This window comes from Homo sapiens, chromosome 16 (assembly GCF_000001405.40).
Source record: "Homo sapiens chromosome 16, GRCh38.p14 Primary Assembly".
Classification (NCBI taxonomy): Eukaryota; Metazoa; Chordata; class Mammalia; order Primates; family Hominidae; genus Homo; species Homo sapiens.
In genome coordinates, this window is record NC_000016.10 from 85,626,996 (window position 1) to 85,641,629 (window position 14,634).

Sequence of the window (14,634 nt, forward strand, 5' to 3'; positions counted from 1 at the left end):
GCCAGCCTTGTCCCTCTCCACTGGGACTTTGCTTCCTTTTCTTCTTGCCTTTTTTTTTTTTTTTTTTTTTTTTTTTTTTTTAAAGCATTGTGCTGCTTCTGACCCTATTAGAAACCTAGCCAGAGAATAGGAGAAAGTATTGATTCAAGAAGCGGTGCTTTGTTACGGGGGGCGGGGGGTGGGGGCCTCACCCGGGGGCGGTGGTCTTTGCTTCCCCAGACCTTTCCTGTCTGTGAAATGGTGGGACCTGAGGGTTTTGCGGTGCTGTGGGCTGCTGCTTCATTCTCCGTTTCCTGCCCTCTGGCTTCTGGCAGAAGCCTCTAGGTTCTCAGCTCTGCCAGGCAGACTGTCTAGACCAGGTGGGTTCTTTCTGAAAGGGTCCAGGGAGCAGACAGTTGAGGCTCACATGAAGAAGGGGTATGTCCCCTGGCCCCTCAGTTTGAGGGTGCCCAGGGCCGAGGGGCCTTTAGGTGTCTGGCTGTGGCAGCTTTTTTTTTCCTGGGGGTGGGGGTCAAGGTGGCAGCTGACAGTGGCAGGAAGGGTTGTCCAGAGCAGCACGTGATGTAAATAAGAGGGTGGGGGCCTCGCAGACCTGGTCCACCTAGACCCCTGGCTCGTTTTCGCCTGCTGAGCTGCACATGTCAAGAGAGCTTGTACAGTGCGGAGACAGCCCCCGGCCCCCCGGCCCCCCGGCCCTCATCCGTCACAGGCCTTCACACGGTGGAGCGTATTCCCAGCTGTTAGGATAATGAATTTACATGAGCTGATAATGTAGACAAGAATTCAGTCAATGTCCAGGAGCGCAGAAGTTAATAAATACCTCTCTAATGAGGGCAGCAGGGGGGTGTGCTCTCCCAGGGCCTCCCTCTCCCCGCCATCCCTGTGTCCCCCACGGACACCTTGGCACCTGCACTGACCTCAGCCAGAGAACACCTGCACGGGAGGAGGCCCGCATCGGTCTCCCTGGGGAGGGCTGGGGGCTTCGTGCCGAGGCCTCGGGGGCAGCAGCCTTGAAGTGATCCCCACCAGGCCTGGAGGGGCAGGAGGCACGTGGGCCCTGGAGGCTGTGTCCATTCACAGCAGGCCCAGGGGGACCCCTCCAAGGATCTCGGGGTTCCCCGGCTCTTGGCCTCCTGTCCTGGCCTCAAGGGAGCTGCGCCCGGCTGCTGCGGCCCCCGCCCCGCCTGCCCAGTGCACACATACTGAGGAGCAGCGCTAATTTTAGATTCCCCCTAATGAAGCCGCTCATTTGGAATTCTATTTTAAGTGACCTGACATCAGCAGAGCCGCTTCCCAGGCTCACAGCTCCTCAGGAGCCTGCAGCTGACACCGGGGCAGGGATGCTGCCCGCAGGGGACCCCCAGGGACCCAGGGAGACTGTACCTGGGGCTGGAGGGGGCCCATGGGGCCCGGGGAGCAGATATTGGGCTTTGTCAGAGGCCGGGGTAGGGAGGTTGCTGTCAGGATGCCAGTGGGCTGGTGATAGTGACACTGAGGTAGCCTCAGACCCAGGCATTGGAGGGAGCAGGCAGAGGGCCTCCCTGGTCACCAGGGAAGGGCTGGGGAGCTGTGGGTGAGGGCTCAGGTTCAGACTCCTGCAGGGACACCCCAGTTCCCTCCACCTCTGCCCTGTGGCTGGACAGCCCCACGCTTTTGTTGGCGGTGCTGACTTCGTGCCGTCGAGCCGCCATCCCTTTGAATGTCCGCCTTTTAAAAGCCTGGTTCACTGCAGAAAAATTAGAACATACAGAGAGAGAAAAAGGATGAAAGTGAAAGACATAGCTCTTCTCGTTGCCATCTGAAGACACTGCCAGTAGCCTCAAGGTGTGTGCGCCATCTGGGGTCTGGTCTGGGACTCGCGCCATGGCCTCTGTGTACCACTGATAGGGTTTGGATGTGTGTCCCCTCCGAATCTCATGTGGAAATGTGTCCTCCAGTTTTGGAGGTGGGGCCCAGTGGCAGTGATTGGATCATGGGGGTGGATCTCTCATGAAGGGGTTATCACCGTCACCTTAGTGGTGAGCACGCTCTCGCAAGATCTGGGTGTTTAAAAGCCTGGGACCTCCCCACTCTTGCTCCCTCTCTCACCACTGGATGTGCTGGCTTCCCTCGCCTTCCGCCATGATTAGAAGCCTCCTGAGGCCTCCCCAGAAGCAGATGCCAGCACCACGCTTCCTGTACACCCCACAGAGTCAGGAGCCAAAATAAGCCTCTTTTCTTTATGAATTACACAGCCTCGGGTATTTCTTTATAGCAACACAGACAGCCTAGTTCAGCCACCCAGCCCGTGCCTGTGGCTGGTGGTCATAGCACATCTGCCCGGGTGGCCAGCCAGCCTCATGAAGGCCACAGGAGAGAGAATTGGCATCTGCTCCCAGACCTTCAGGGCGGGTCACCTGGAGGTGAAATGACCATACGGTGCCCCACGTTCCCCTTTTGCGGTAGCATGTGGTGTGGTTTGCAGGGCATAGTCAGCCACCCAGCCTGCACCGGAGATCGGCCCCTCCTGCGGCCCTGGAGCAGGTCGAGCTGGGCCCTGGCTGGCTTGTCACATGGGCACTGTGCTGAGGTCATCTCAGCCCTGCTCTGCACTGGACCTGGGCTCCAAGCCTGCCTTCGCCTATCTGGGAAATAGGCCCAGTCCCAGCTTTCTCATAGGGCGGCCAAGATGTAGAGTGGCTGGCTCTCTGAGGAATGTGGGAAAGGGGGATGGGGGATGCTGATGGTCTCTGGCATCGAAGGGACATGTTTTGGAGACTCTGGGTGAAGATGCAGAGTCTCTGTGTGCAGATAGTTTCACTTCTTGGCTTTCTGATGGATTGAGGGGGCGGCCTGGATTAATAGAGGGTGTGGTGATGCTGACCGTATCAGTTATCTAGCGTTGTGTGACCAACTGTCCGCAGCTCAGTGGCTTAAACACAAAACCTTTGTTATCTCAGTTTCTGTGGGCCAGGGATTGGAGGATGGCTTAGCTGGGTGGTTCTGGCTCAGGGTCTGTGATGAGCCTACTTGAGATGTTGGCTGGGGCTGCGGTCTCATCAGAAGGCCAGCCTGGGGCTGGAGGATTCATTGCCAAGGTGGCTTCTCACATGGCTGTTGGCTGGAGGCCTTGGTTCTTTGAAATGTGGGTTTCTCCATGACCTGCTTGAGCATCCTCATGATACGGCAGCTGACCCCCCTCCACTGGAGTGACCCAAGAGGGCCAGGAAGGAGGTGATCTTACCTTGGCAGCTGCAGACTGCTGCTTCCATTATACTCTGTTCATCAGAAGTGAGTTGCTCAGTCTGGCCCACGCTTGGGGAAGGGAATTGGTCTCTACCTCTTGAAAGGATGACTGATGAAGACTTTATAGACATTCTTTTTATTTTTTGAGAGACAGGGTTCTGTTACCCAGGCTAGAGTATAGCGGTGTGATCATAGCTCACTGTAGCTCCAACTCCTGGGCTCAAATAATCCTCCCAAACAGCGGAGATTACAGGTACGCATGTGTCGTTTCAGGGTAATTTACAGAGACAGCGTCTATGCTGCCCAGGCTGGTTTTGAACTCCTGGCCTCACGCAGTCCTCCCACCTCACCCTCCTACTTACCTGGGATTACAGGTGTGCCCACCATGCCCAGGATGAATGTTTTTAACCATTACAGTTCAACGTATCTTAGCTGTGTGTGGTGCGCGCACATGTGACCATTCACGCCTTCTGATCGGGTGCCATGGTTGGGCCGTGTACTGGGCAGGTGCTGGTAATGAGCAGTGGGGGCCCAGGAAGCCGGGTTCAAGTCCTGGACATGCTGCTCAACTGACTGACCTTGGACCAAGCTTAGGTCATCTCCTGGTCTCGGTTTCCCCATCTGTACGCTAGGCCTCTTGGGCTTGGGCGATGGCTGTGAGGGGTGGGACACAGGCTGGGTGGTGGGTGACAGTTCAGCTGCTGTGGCCTCTCCTGGGCTCATTGTGAGGCTGTCTTGAGAGGTGCCCGACTGGTCTGTGTGACTTCTGAGAGCTGCTGCAGTATCCCCTGGGGGGGTGGTCTTTGCGTTCCCCGGGGCCCTGCTCCTGTCTTCCAGGCAGCTCTCCTAGCGTCACCCTCCTGAGTGCCTCGTTGGGACCACGAGGACCTGGTTCATTGATGTCCGTGTGGGTCCCTGTGAGGGTGGGGCTCTGTCCTGTGCCACTTCGTCTTTCTAGACATTCCCTCCTAAAAACCCGCAGCCTACTCGGTGTGGTGCTGAAGGTGCTTCGGTGACAGATAGGACCCGGAGGTCCTCTGGACTGCCCATGGCAGCCCCTATGTTGGCCATGTCCTCCAGTGTCCCCTGCAGGCACCAGGACAAGAGCTCTGGTCTCCCCCATCCTCCAGTGTCCTGTGGGTCACCTTTTCCCGGCCACCGGCCTTTTGGGGTCACGGGGTGGCCCTCTGCCGAAGGTGTGTGGGCTCGTGGGCCCAGGGCACGGGGCTTGTGGGCAGGGTGCCTGCCAGCTTGACACCATGTGCCCTCCCCATTGTGGCTCCAGTGGGGTGAGCATCGCAGACTCAGAGCATGGGTCCCATTTGCTGAGACACCTGCGTGGCCTTGGCTGGACCCCCTGCCTGCTGGGACTGGCATCTGCCTGCTGGGACTGGCATCTGTCCTCGCTGGCTGGCATGCTGTCTCGTAATGGCCCTGGGGTGCCCCACAGGCTCTGAAGCCCCTCATGTCAGTTACCCCATTATGCTCAGGGGAGTGACCTCATGAGGTCAGCTTTGCTGTGCTGTTACCCCGTTTGGTAGATGAAGAAACGGAGGCCCTGACAGGCAAAGTAACTTGCCCCAAAAGGTTGTTCAGCCAGAAGCATCCAGAAGCTGGGTCTGAGCCACAGGCGCGTTTTCATCGCCTCCAATGGACCCGCTGCGCCTCTGTGCACAGGGAGAGGCACTGATGGCAGCCCGGTGCGGGGGACACGCAGAGGCCAGGCCCGCCTTGGGGGCAGCGTGGCTGGCGGTGCGGAGCAGAGAGCAGCTGGCAGGGTTCAGGCTGGCCGAGGACGGGCCCTCATTGGCAGCCCGCATTTTCTGGAAGTGAGGCTGCCAGGCAGAGCCCCCGCCCTCCCGCTTGTTTGGATGTCTGTGCCGGGTTGAAGCGGCCTTGGAAAGGCAGGATGGGGGTGCAGGTCCCCCTCCACCCCTGGCCCCTCCAGAAAGAGCCAAGGGAAGACAGGCTAGGTGGGGCCCGCTGCTGCAGGGCACGGCCACGGCGCCACCTGGCTGTTGCCTGCCATGGGCATGGGGCTCTCAGGGGTCCTTTGTTCCCAAGGTGTGAGCTCTCACTGGGGAGAACAAACGATGCCCCCCGAACTCGTTCCCGCCTCTCTGTTCTCTCATTTGCAGCCCCCTCTCTCAGGCAGTGCCCCCAGCCCTTCCCTCAGTGCCCCCAAAGAATTATTTTCTCCCTACGTCCCCTCTATCAGGAGAGGGAGGACTTGGCTCCCTGAATACATGGCCAGGACTCACGGCCTTTGGTGGCAAGTTCTGGGGATAGCAGGTGGACAAAGGAGGTCTTGAGGGGGTCCTCTCCACGCTGCCTCCGAGCCTGCTGTCCCATGGGGACAGGTTCCAATTAGACTTGTCAATGTCACTTAGAATCTGGCAGAGGTGGAGTGGGCTCTGGAGGCCAGGGCAGCCTCTTCCGGGGAGGAACCTGGGGGCCCCCTTGCCCTTACCCCATAGGAAGTGCACAGTCCGCCCCTCTTGTGTGTTGCCCCCCGGATCTCTGTGACACCAGCCCCACCATGTGTGGCCCCAGCGCCCCCCCGCCCCAAGATGCATCCACAGGGAGGAAGCCGGGACCCTGTCTGTGGGTGATGTAGGGGTGGGGGCGTCTCTGCGGGGGAGGGATGTTGGTGGAAACATTTTGACCAGGTTGGGCTTTTATTGATTGGACACACGGGGTGGGCGGACTGAGGGCTTGTTTGGAGGTGGCCATGTCCTTTCCCCAGTGGTTCTGATGTCACCAGGTGGCTGCCCCTGGGCTCAGACCTCTGGTGCCGCCGCCGCCGCCGCTGTCACCACTGGCCGGGAGGGCCAGGTCAGCCGTTGCTGCGCCAGGTCGGCCTGAACTTGGCCCTGGGAGGAAAGAGGGTTCCAAGCTGCACCGCGGTTTGGATTTGCGGTTTTCTGTTTTTAGCATCTCCGGGCAGACTCTGTGCCCAGTAAGGGGCCACAGTGGGGTCTGCAGTGCGGCCGTGTTCTTCCCCACCGCTCCCTGTCAGCCTGCCTGTGTGGCCCCATCTCTGGGACCCCTCTCAGACAGAGACGCACAGGGTCCCTGAGTGGCGGGGAGGCCGGGGGTCTGCCCTGAGTGCCCGCGTGGACTGGGCCGAGTTGGGGCCTTAGTTTCCTTTTCTGTAACGTGGGGCAGAACTCCCGCCAGTCTTCTGAGGGCATTGCCATGCGTGCCTGGCATCGTGTGCTTGTCGCGTCAGTGGCCACAGCAGTTGTCTTGGTTCCCGTCGTCCCTGGGCCTCTCCACCAGCGTGTTTCTATCCTGAGGATGCGGGCCGCACGCCTCCTCCGCCTGGGCCTCAGTCTCCTTCCCCACGCCATTTGATGGTCAGGGGCCTGTTGGGTGATGCGTGGGATCCTCCACGACCTGCCCAGCCTGGACTGCCCTGGAGAGGTAGAGGGACAGTGCTGGCCCAAGCCGTTCAGCATCTGGGGTCCTGGGGGCCTCTTGGGTCTGTGCCGGGTTCCAGCTGGACTCTGGGGACGGGGTCTGTTCTCTCTGCAGCGCTGGCTCTGTCCTGTTCTTGCTTGTCCTGCTGGAGCCCCCGGGGCTGCCCCTGCTCCCTGCCTGCTGCTGCTGACACCGGCCCTGCCGACCCTGCTCTGGTGCTGGGCGCTCCTGCTCTCTGGGTGACCTCTGGTTCTTCTTTTCCTGTTTCAGGCATGAGCCATGAGCCCAAGTCCCCTTCGCTAGGGATGCTTTCCACCGCGACCAGGACCACCGCCACCGTCAACCCCCTCACCCCCTCGCCGCTCAATGGCGCCCTGGTGCCCAGCGGCAGCCCCGCCACCAGCAGCGCGCTGTCGGCCCAGGCCGCGCCATCCTCCAGCTTTGCCGCCGCGCTGCGCAAGCTCGCCAAACAGGCGGAGGAGCCCAGAGGTAAGGGGGCCCGCCAGGCTGCGCGTGGGGGGAGCGGCGGCTCCCGAGGCCGGGACTCAGCCTCCCGCCTGCGGCGTGCACGCTCACAGCAGGTCTCGTCTTTCCCACGCCGTGTGCTCTGCATGGAGCAGGCAGTGCTGGCTGAGCTACAGACCCTGGGCCAGTCCGCCTGCCCCAGCACCTCCGCTTTGCCTCTGTGCTTCTGTCTCTCCTGCCTCTGTCCTTCCTCGGCCCCCGGAGCCACTGCAGGGGTGTCCGGATGTAGCGAGGTGCTCCTACCAGCTCTGTGACTTGATTGGGAGGAGGGTGGGTGCCCTGGACCAGGGGAGCCCCAAGAGGCTGCAGAGGGAGAGCTGGGCCCCAGTGCTCCCCAAGTGGCTCCTTGCCCAGGTTTTGACACTCCCTCCAGAAGTGGCAGAGAACATGGTGTCCCTGGAAACACAGTGGTCTGGAGCGGGGGTCTCTGGCACAGCTGAACCCACCACTGCTCAACTCCCTGAGGCAGAGACTGTGGGGAGCATAGACAAGCGGCCCCCGGGGTCTGGAGCCTTGGCTTCTGGTATCACCTGGGCAGGACCTGCTGTGTGAACCTGGGCACGTTGCTGATCCTCTGAGCCTCATTTTTCCTGTCTGTGCAGTGAGGCTCTAAAGACGCCCCCTTTGGCTCTGGCTCTGGGGTACTTTTTGGCGCCTGCGATGACCATTGGCAGGGGCTGCTGCTGGCACAAATGGGGAGGGGCAGTGGGCGGCTGGAGCTGCTGGGGGCCTTGGCCATGTGGATTCTGGCCTCGGACACCCTCTGGACTCGCTGCTGACAGGCGGGGGGGCTGAGGAAACCGGGACCCCAGTGGCATCCGCTTCATTCACCTCCAAGGCCCACGGGTTAAGATCCGGGTGCCAGGGCCCTCCGGGGTGGCCACAGCAACACATGCAGGAGCCATGTCCGTCTTTACATTACCCGGGTTCCAGCTTGGCAGAGGGGACACCTGCCCTGACCAGGGCGGGCTGGGGGGACTTCTCATTTCTGAATGTCTCCTTCCTGGATCCTTTCTGCTGCTGCTCGTTGGAGAATGGGGGGAGTGTGAGAGGACACACCTGACATTGATGGATGGGGGGTATTGGCCCAGGAGGGAGGCCCGTTGGGGTCTGGTTTCCGTACCACCAGGGGGCAGCCCCTCGCCTCCTGGCTCTTCCTGGCAAACCAGGCACAGGCAGGACCGCCAGAAAACCCTCCACGCCCTTGGCAGGGGACTCCCTGGCCACACCTGAGCGGGCCAGGTTGCATGGGCCCCACCTGTGTCAAGAGGCCGGACAGCTGCAGGCAAGATGGCTCAGGGGGAAGCAGACTGCCTGCCTGGTGGAGGCATCCTGGACTCTCTGGGGCGGTGAACAAGGCAGCTGGGGACAGACCCTGGGAGGAAGCTGAGCTTGGAGTCGAGACTCGGGCTCTCCTGAGAGGGGTGGAGAGAAGCGAGGTCAGAGCTGGCCCAGCTCCTGCTGCTGCAGTTGTCTTTTTTTCTCAGCGTTTGGGGGCAGGAGAACCAGGGCTGGTGAGGGATTTCCGAGGCCACGGGCGGCACGTGACTGGCGCTGGTGCTACCTGGGCTGGGTTATCCTTGCATCCTGCTTTCATCCAGCAGCTGTGTCTGCTTTGGGGCCTCTGGGCTCCACCCCTGGGTAACGCTGCAGAGGACGTGGTCAGGAAAGGGCAGGTTTCCCTCCTCGCCAAGGAAGGTGGTAGAGAGGTGTTCAGACTCGCCTTCCCTCCCTGGGCCCAGCAGCGGCCGTGGGCGTCACAGCAGGAGCCTGCTCACAGGGCCGTCGCTTCCTCTCCGCTGCCCCATGCTGCTGGCCCCAGCACTTGGTTTGGTGGCTCGGCCAGCGGGTGGCCTGAGTGCCAGAGGCCGCTGGTCCCCACTGGCCAGGAACAAAGTGCCGCTGGGCGCCCCTGGCGGGAGGCCAGACACCATGGCCTCGTGGCCCTGCTCCCTCCCAGCTGCAACCTGGGCACTGGGAAGGGTCCCCCATGGTGGATGCCCCCCAGGAAAGATGCCCCCGGGGTGGATGCCTGGGAACTGAATGGCAGAGGGTCGGGAGAGCGGGCGAGCAGTGCCACTGCCTGAGCCATGTGCCCATCGGTTCACTCACCCACCTCACCCCCTATTGAGCTGGGAATGCCAAGGTTTGTGGGGCTCGGAGTCTGCGGATGTGGAGCAGTGTTTGGGTCCTGGAACGCCCTCAGCCAGGCCTGGGCCCTCGTCGCCCCCACCCGTTTTGATGAATCTCCAGCTGGTCACCCCTGTCAGGCCTTGGTCTGGATGGGGAGGGACTGGGTGACTCGTTCCTCGTGACCTCAGCCACTCAGTGCACCTGGTCCCCATTCTCATGGAGTCACCCGGACCCTGACCTCACGTTTCCCCGTCCATGGAACTGGCCGGCAGCCCTCCCGGGACCCTCGGGCAGCTGAGAAGGCCAAAGTTCAGAGAGGACAAGTCGCAAGACGGCAGCCACAGCGGGTGGGGTCGTGTCCGTGTCCCACTGCTGCTGGGCCTTCCCGGGGGGGGGCTGGGAGAGCCGCCGTTAGGACAGTTCTGAGCTGGTGGTCCCGGCGGTCCCTGCTGGAAAGGAAGCCCCCCTCACCCCTAGCACCACTGCCAGTGGAGCAGGGAGCTGGCGTTGGGCGCACAAAAGGGTCTATGCCTGGCTGTCAGCACGCTGACCCTGCCTCCCTGTGGGTTGTGGAGTCCTGGATGACAGTGGGGACATGTGGACCCCCCAGCTCCCCTGTGCTACCCCCCCAGCTCCCTGGTGCTACCTCCCCATCTGCGCCAGAGGGCAGCAGGGGGAACCTTTGGCGGACTTGGCAGTGGGAGGGGTTTGCATTTCTTATTTAAAATTTTTTTAGTTACAATTCACATGCCATAAAATTCACCCTGTAGAAGCGCATGATTTGGTGATTTTCCTACACAGTTGTGTGACCATCTAATTCTAGAACATTTGGGTCACCCCTAAGAGAACCTCGGTTGCATTTGCCGTCAGCTCCCACGCCCTCCCCCAGCCCCCGGCGGCCGCTGTCTGCTTTCTGCCTCTGTAGATGTACCTGTGGGCATTTTGTACACATGGGCTGGCGCGGTGCGTGTCTGGACCCTGAGCGTGACATCTCCTGGTCCTTGTGGGCCATCTGCGGCGTGACAGCCCTTCCTGCTTCTCGTGGCTGGACGACCCGGGTCGGGGGAGCTGGGTGGGGCCACGAACCCGCAGCTGCCTTTCTGCTCCGTCCTGGAGTTGGACCAGTGAGGGCCTCCCCACCTTCATCATGGCAGTGGCTGTGCCCCCTTGATTGCAGCAGTGGCTATGTATCGAGTCCCCCCTTGATCGCGGCAGTGGCTATGTATTGAGTCCCCCCTTGATCGCGGCAGTGGCTGTGTATCGAGCGCCTGCTGTGCCCCTGGCGGGCTCGCTGTGCTTCTCACACACCCTTCGCCTCTGGTGGATGAGAACTGAGCCTCCGGCTTGCCCGGGTCCCACGTTGTAAGTGGCATGGGGAATTCCAATCCCCAGCTTGTGCCTGAGACTCCATAGACCCCTGCCCCGCAGGTGTAGCCTCCTCCCTGCAGAAAGGGAGACCGGGCCTCTGTGAAAGCCACACCTGCCGGGGAGTGGGGTCCCTCTGGTGCCTGCCAGGTGCCCAAGAGAGCACCAAGCCCCAGCGGGCTAGCGGCTGAGCTGGCCAGCTCAGCGGCCCGCAGCCAGGGCTGCCTCCTGGCGACGGCACGTCCTGGGCAGAGGGGGCAGGGATGGAAGCAGGGCAGCTCCCAGAGCTGCAGGGGGAGGTGGCAGGAGAGGTGGCAGAGCTGGCGCACCCAGGGAACAGCAGAGGCTGTGCTGCCCCACGCGGCCCCTCCTCTGGGTGCCCTGGGCCCCAGCCGCCTGCGGCAAGCCTTCTCACTCACCCTGACCCTCCTCTCCAGTGCACGCCTGACGACTTCTGGAAGTGCCTCTCGGTTTTCGCCATCTGACTGCGATTGCCTCCGCGTCTCTCCTCTCATTGTGTCTCAAGGGTGTAGTTTAAAAATTCAATTCAGACGAAGCTGTGGCATGCGCTGCCCTGGGAGAAAGGCTGGGAAGGAGAGGAAGAGGAGGCCCTCGCTGGGATTTATTTTTCTGGAGGCGCTGAGACGTCTTCTCTTCTTCAAAGCTCAGTCACCCGCCCACCAGCGCGGGCCAGACACCCTTCCCCAGGGCCAGCCTGACCCTTTAACCTACTCACCTACTCACTGCCGAGGCTGGGGCGCTTTGGGCAAGGGCAGACGCTTGCGAATCGCCGATGCATGCCCCAGCACTTTCCTTCCTTGCTGTGTGATCCGGGCAGGCCGCTTTGCCTCTCTGAGCTTCCACTTTTTCTTGGGTGAGGAGCAGGTCTCTACCTCATGAATCGTGGGGACTGGGTGGGAATGTGCCACAGCCGGGAATGGTGGCATGAGTGTCAATGCAGCAGGCCTCCACCCTGGCTCCCACCCCCGCCTCCCCTTCCCTGCCCCCCACCCTAATGCTGCCTCCTTTCACCTTCCCCATTCTTGCCACCCCCACCTCCTACGTGCCTCCCCTACCCCTCCACCCACTGCCACCCCTTCCCCTGACTCCCCGTCCTACCCCTGTGACCCCCATCATCTGCCCTGGGAGGGCGTGTGCTTCCCCGGTGGGGTTGGAAGGTGTGGGTCCGCCATGGCTTCCCCCCGTCAATGGCTCTGGGCCGGGAGCCTGCGGTGGCTTCCTCTGTCCCAGTGGTGCAGGGTGCAGGCAGGGCCAAGTGGCTGCCTGTTGGTCTTGACTTTCTGGGAGAAATGGGGCTTGGAGTGCCCGGGCCCCACGCAGAACATTCTAGAAGGAGGCTGCAGGTTTGGGCGTGATCCTGAGTTGATCCTGGGTTGCACCCCCAGCCCCTTCCCAGCGACCGGCCTGGGCTGCAGTCTGAGCCGAGGCGTCCCTGACCCTGTTCTGCCCTGGTGGCTATTGGTCTCTTTGTTCCTCCCACATTGTCCCAGCCACCAAAGGGACGTCCCCGGGGCCGCCCAGCCCTCCCTTCGACGCAGCTGGGCCAGCTCCCGCTGTAGCCCAGACTCCTCGGGTGGCACCGGGTCCTTGGGTACAAGCAGGGACCTGTCCCCTCCTCGGAATGGCGGCCTGGCCACCGCCTCCCTCCCTGCCTCTCCTACCAGGACCTCTTCTGCACAGACACCCAACCACCCCCATAGGCATCTGAAACCTCAGCCTAGGAGTCCCAAGACTGGGGGGATGGGTCCCAGCCCTGTGTCCCACCCCCTGCGCTGGACAGATTCTGACTCCCCTCTAAGCCTCCTGGGCGCCAGGCCTAGCCTGCCTTGCGGGTGTGTCGGGATCCCCCCATCATCCCTTGTCCTTGGAGGTGCTTGTTGACTGACTGAATAAGAGGTGTTTGCCCCGAGGGTGCCCCGGGAACGCCTGTGCGTGGAGCCAGGCCCTGTGCTTCCAGCTCCCCAGCTCCACACCCTGAAGGCAGCCCTGAGCCAGGCTGGGGTGTGACAGCTGTCGGGCCTGCCCAGTGTCTCTGCAGAGGGCAGGCCGTGGAGCCTCCACCGCCGCCCCCACTGCTGTGTGACGAAGCCAGGGCTGCTGCCAGGCACCCTCGCAAGCTGTGTGGCATCTGCTTGCCGTGTGCAGCAGGCGGCAGCCTCCCGCAGGGACGCAGCGCCCGTCTGCCAAGGCGGCCGGGGGCGGAGGTACGGGGAGCCTTGCGTGTCCTCAGCTGCTCCAGGAGGCACAGGCAGCACCTGGGACCAGGCACCCCCTCCCTGGGAAACAGTTGGGGGCGATCGTGCTGCGGGCCTTTGCTCTGGGAGGCCGGCGCTTTGGGAACAGGGTGGCTCCAGAGCCTTCCCAGGTGGGCTGGAGAGCCGCCGTCTGGAGGACAGTTCTGAGCAGGTGCTCCTGGCTGGCGAGGAAGCCCCACCTCACCCCAGCACCACCCATGGTGCAGGGAGCTGGGGTTGGGCGCACAAGAGTCTGAGCCCGTTCCCACCCCGCCTCCTTGTCACCAGCCCGGTGGCCGGGACTCATGGCTTCCCTGCCCACACTTCGCTCCCTTAACACCGGCCGGGGGCTCATGGTACCTGCCCTGGAAGCTGCCAGAGGCCTCTCCAAGCAGGTGTTGGCCGCTGTGTTACCTGCGGCAGGGGTGGCCCAGCCACCCATAGCCCGGCTTGGGCCACAGGGACGGGGCCGACAGGTGGTGGCAGTGGGGCTGGAACTGCTCTCTTGTCATCGAGGCCCGCGGGGCCCTGTGCCGCCTTCCCCTGGTGGTGTCTGCTGGCTGCCTGCCTCGTCTTGTCACTGGCTTTGCAGGCAAGAGGGGAGGCAGATCCGGTTACTGTCCTGTCCCTGGTGCCACCTGAAACCGAGATCCCACCTGAGTGAGTGGGGACTACGTGTGCGGGGACCACGGAGCAGGGACCACAGACCCATCCTCATGAGCTGCCGTGGGAATGCTTCCACCGTGGAGCCGGCCTGGGCGGGGGAGAGGCTCCCCCTTTCTGCCGCTGCCTCGGAAATCTGCCTCTCAAAGAAAACAGCAAAACAAACACGGAGGAAGGATCCCGCCTGGCAGGCGCGCCTCGCGTGGGTGTCAGTCTGCGGCGGCGGCGGCTCTGCAGGCGTCTGGAGCCCGTCTGTCTCCCGCGCAGGTGTGAGCGCCGCGGGCGTCCTCATGGTGCCTCTCCGTTCTCCTGGCCCGGGGGCCAGAGGGCTGGTGGTCAGGGGAAGCCAGAGCCAAAGGGGAGCAAGGCCCACGGAGAGGACCCCACCACCTATCCCGACCCCTTCTCCGCATAGCACAGTGGGGAGCCCTGGGCAGGGTGGAGGAGCCCAGTACTTGGCGTGTCAGCCTTTGGGGGCCTGTCCTGGGATAATGGAGGCAAGGCCTCCCCTAGCCACGTGGACATAAGGGTGATTTTTTTCCGGTTTTCCCTGATGCACCCTGTGCCTCCCTGCAGCCCCTGTGCCCGTTTCTTCTTCCTCGTCCTAACGTCCCACCTCCCTCAGGGTACCTGTCTCAGCTCCTTTGGTCCCACGCGGACTCTCCCGGCTCCATCCGGCTCCCAGGGTCCAGCATCTAAGCTCACGCTGTTCAGCACATAATCCGCCCCCGGCAAAACGCATCTCCAGCTAGAAACCCGCACCTCCCGCTGTCAGTTTGGGTTTGATGACTGTGGCACGTGATGGCAGGGTGGGCATGGGAGCCCGCCACTGGCTGACGCCCCCCCCCGCCCTTTTGCAGCTGTGAGGTGGAGCCTCGTTGGTGGACGCAGGCCGCGGGTCGGGAGAGCCCTGCCCTGGGAGCCTTGTAGGGCGGCTGCTGCTACTTGGTCTCCTGCTTCTCCCTGGAACGCAGGGGGTCGCGGCGTGACTTCAGCCTTGCGCTGTGGTGTGCCTGCTGTCCCGTGTACCAGGGCTGCGGTGACT

At 62.4% G+C, this 14,634-nt stretch overlaps 1 protein-coding gene across 30 annotated transcripts in view, besides 6 other annotated features; it reads left to right on the top strand.

The window, feature by feature from the left end:
- The window catches only part of GSE1 (Gse1 coiled-coil protein), a 506,689-nt gene that overhangs the window by 457,484 nt on the left and 34,571 nt on the right, over positions 1-14,634 (top strand). For 17 of the 30 annotated variants that reach the window (XM_047433837.1, XM_005255859.6, XM_005255860.4 and 14 more), the window contains one exon: positions 6,919-7,137. The exons of 12 other annotated variants lie outside the window; for them this stretch is intronic. In XM_047433837.1, coding sequence (XP_047289793.1) covers positions 6,919-7,137 — 219 coding nt within the window. Of the gene's footprint in view, positions 1-82; positions 6,652-6,918; positions 7,138-14,634 lie in introns of those variants that run through there. One more of the 30 variants, XM_047433819.1, reaches the window with a different exon arrangement.
- Positions 90-909: an enhancer, noted in NCBI's record as "H3K4me1 hESC enhancer chr16:85660691-85661510 (GRCh37/hg19 assembly coordinates)". NCBI's record gives its function as "activates a minimal SCP1, AML or CMV promoter by ChIP-STARR-seq in naive H9 embryonic stem cells {active_cell/tissue: H9 hESC(naive)}" and the evidence as "EXISTENCE:reporter gene assay evidence [ECO:0000049][PMID:30033119]".
- Positions 910-1,728: an enhancer, noted in NCBI's record as "H3K4me1 hESC enhancer chr16:85661511-85662329 (GRCh37/hg19 assembly coordinates)". NCBI's record gives its function as "activates a minimal SCP1, AML or CMV promoter by ChIP-STARR-seq in naive H9 embryonic stem cells {active_cell/tissue: H9 hESC(naive)}" and the evidence as "EXISTENCE:reporter gene assay evidence [ECO:0000049][PMID:30033119]".
- Positions 4,710-5,487: an enhancer, noted in NCBI's record as "H3K27ac-H3K4me1 hESC enhancer chr16:85665311-85666088 (GRCh37/hg19 assembly coordinates)". NCBI's record gives its function as "activates a minimal SCP1, AML or CMV promoter by ChIP-STARR-seq in primed H9 embryonic stem cells {active_cell/tissue: H9 hESC(primed)}" and the evidence as "EXISTENCE:reporter gene assay evidence [ECO:0000049][PMID:30033119]".
- Positions 8,360-9,313: an enhancer, noted in NCBI's record as "H3K27ac-H3K4me1 hESC enhancer chr16:85668961-85669914 (GRCh37/hg19 assembly coordinates)". NCBI's record gives its function as "activates a minimal SCP1, AML or CMV promoter by ChIP-STARR-seq in naive and primed H9 embryonic stem cells {active_cell/tissue: H9 hESC(naive and primed)}" and the evidence as "EXISTENCE:reporter gene assay evidence [ECO:0000049][PMID:30033119]".
- Positions 12,313-12,847: an enhancer, noted in NCBI's record as "H3K27ac-H3K4me1 hESC enhancer chr16:85672914-85673448 (GRCh37/hg19 assembly coordinates)". NCBI's record gives its function as "activates a minimal SCP1, AML or CMV promoter by ChIP-STARR-seq in primed H9 embryonic stem cells {active_cell/tissue: H9 hESC(primed)}" and the evidence as "EXISTENCE:reporter gene assay evidence [ECO:0000049][PMID:30033119]".
- Positions 12,848-13,380: an enhancer, noted in NCBI's record as "H3K27ac-H3K4me1 hESC enhancer chr16:85673449-85673981 (GRCh37/hg19 assembly coordinates)". NCBI's record gives its function as "activates a minimal SCP1, AML or CMV promoter by ChIP-STARR-seq in naive H9 embryonic stem cells {active_cell/tissue: H9 hESC(naive)}" and the evidence as "EXISTENCE:reporter gene assay evidence [ECO:0000049][PMID:30033119]".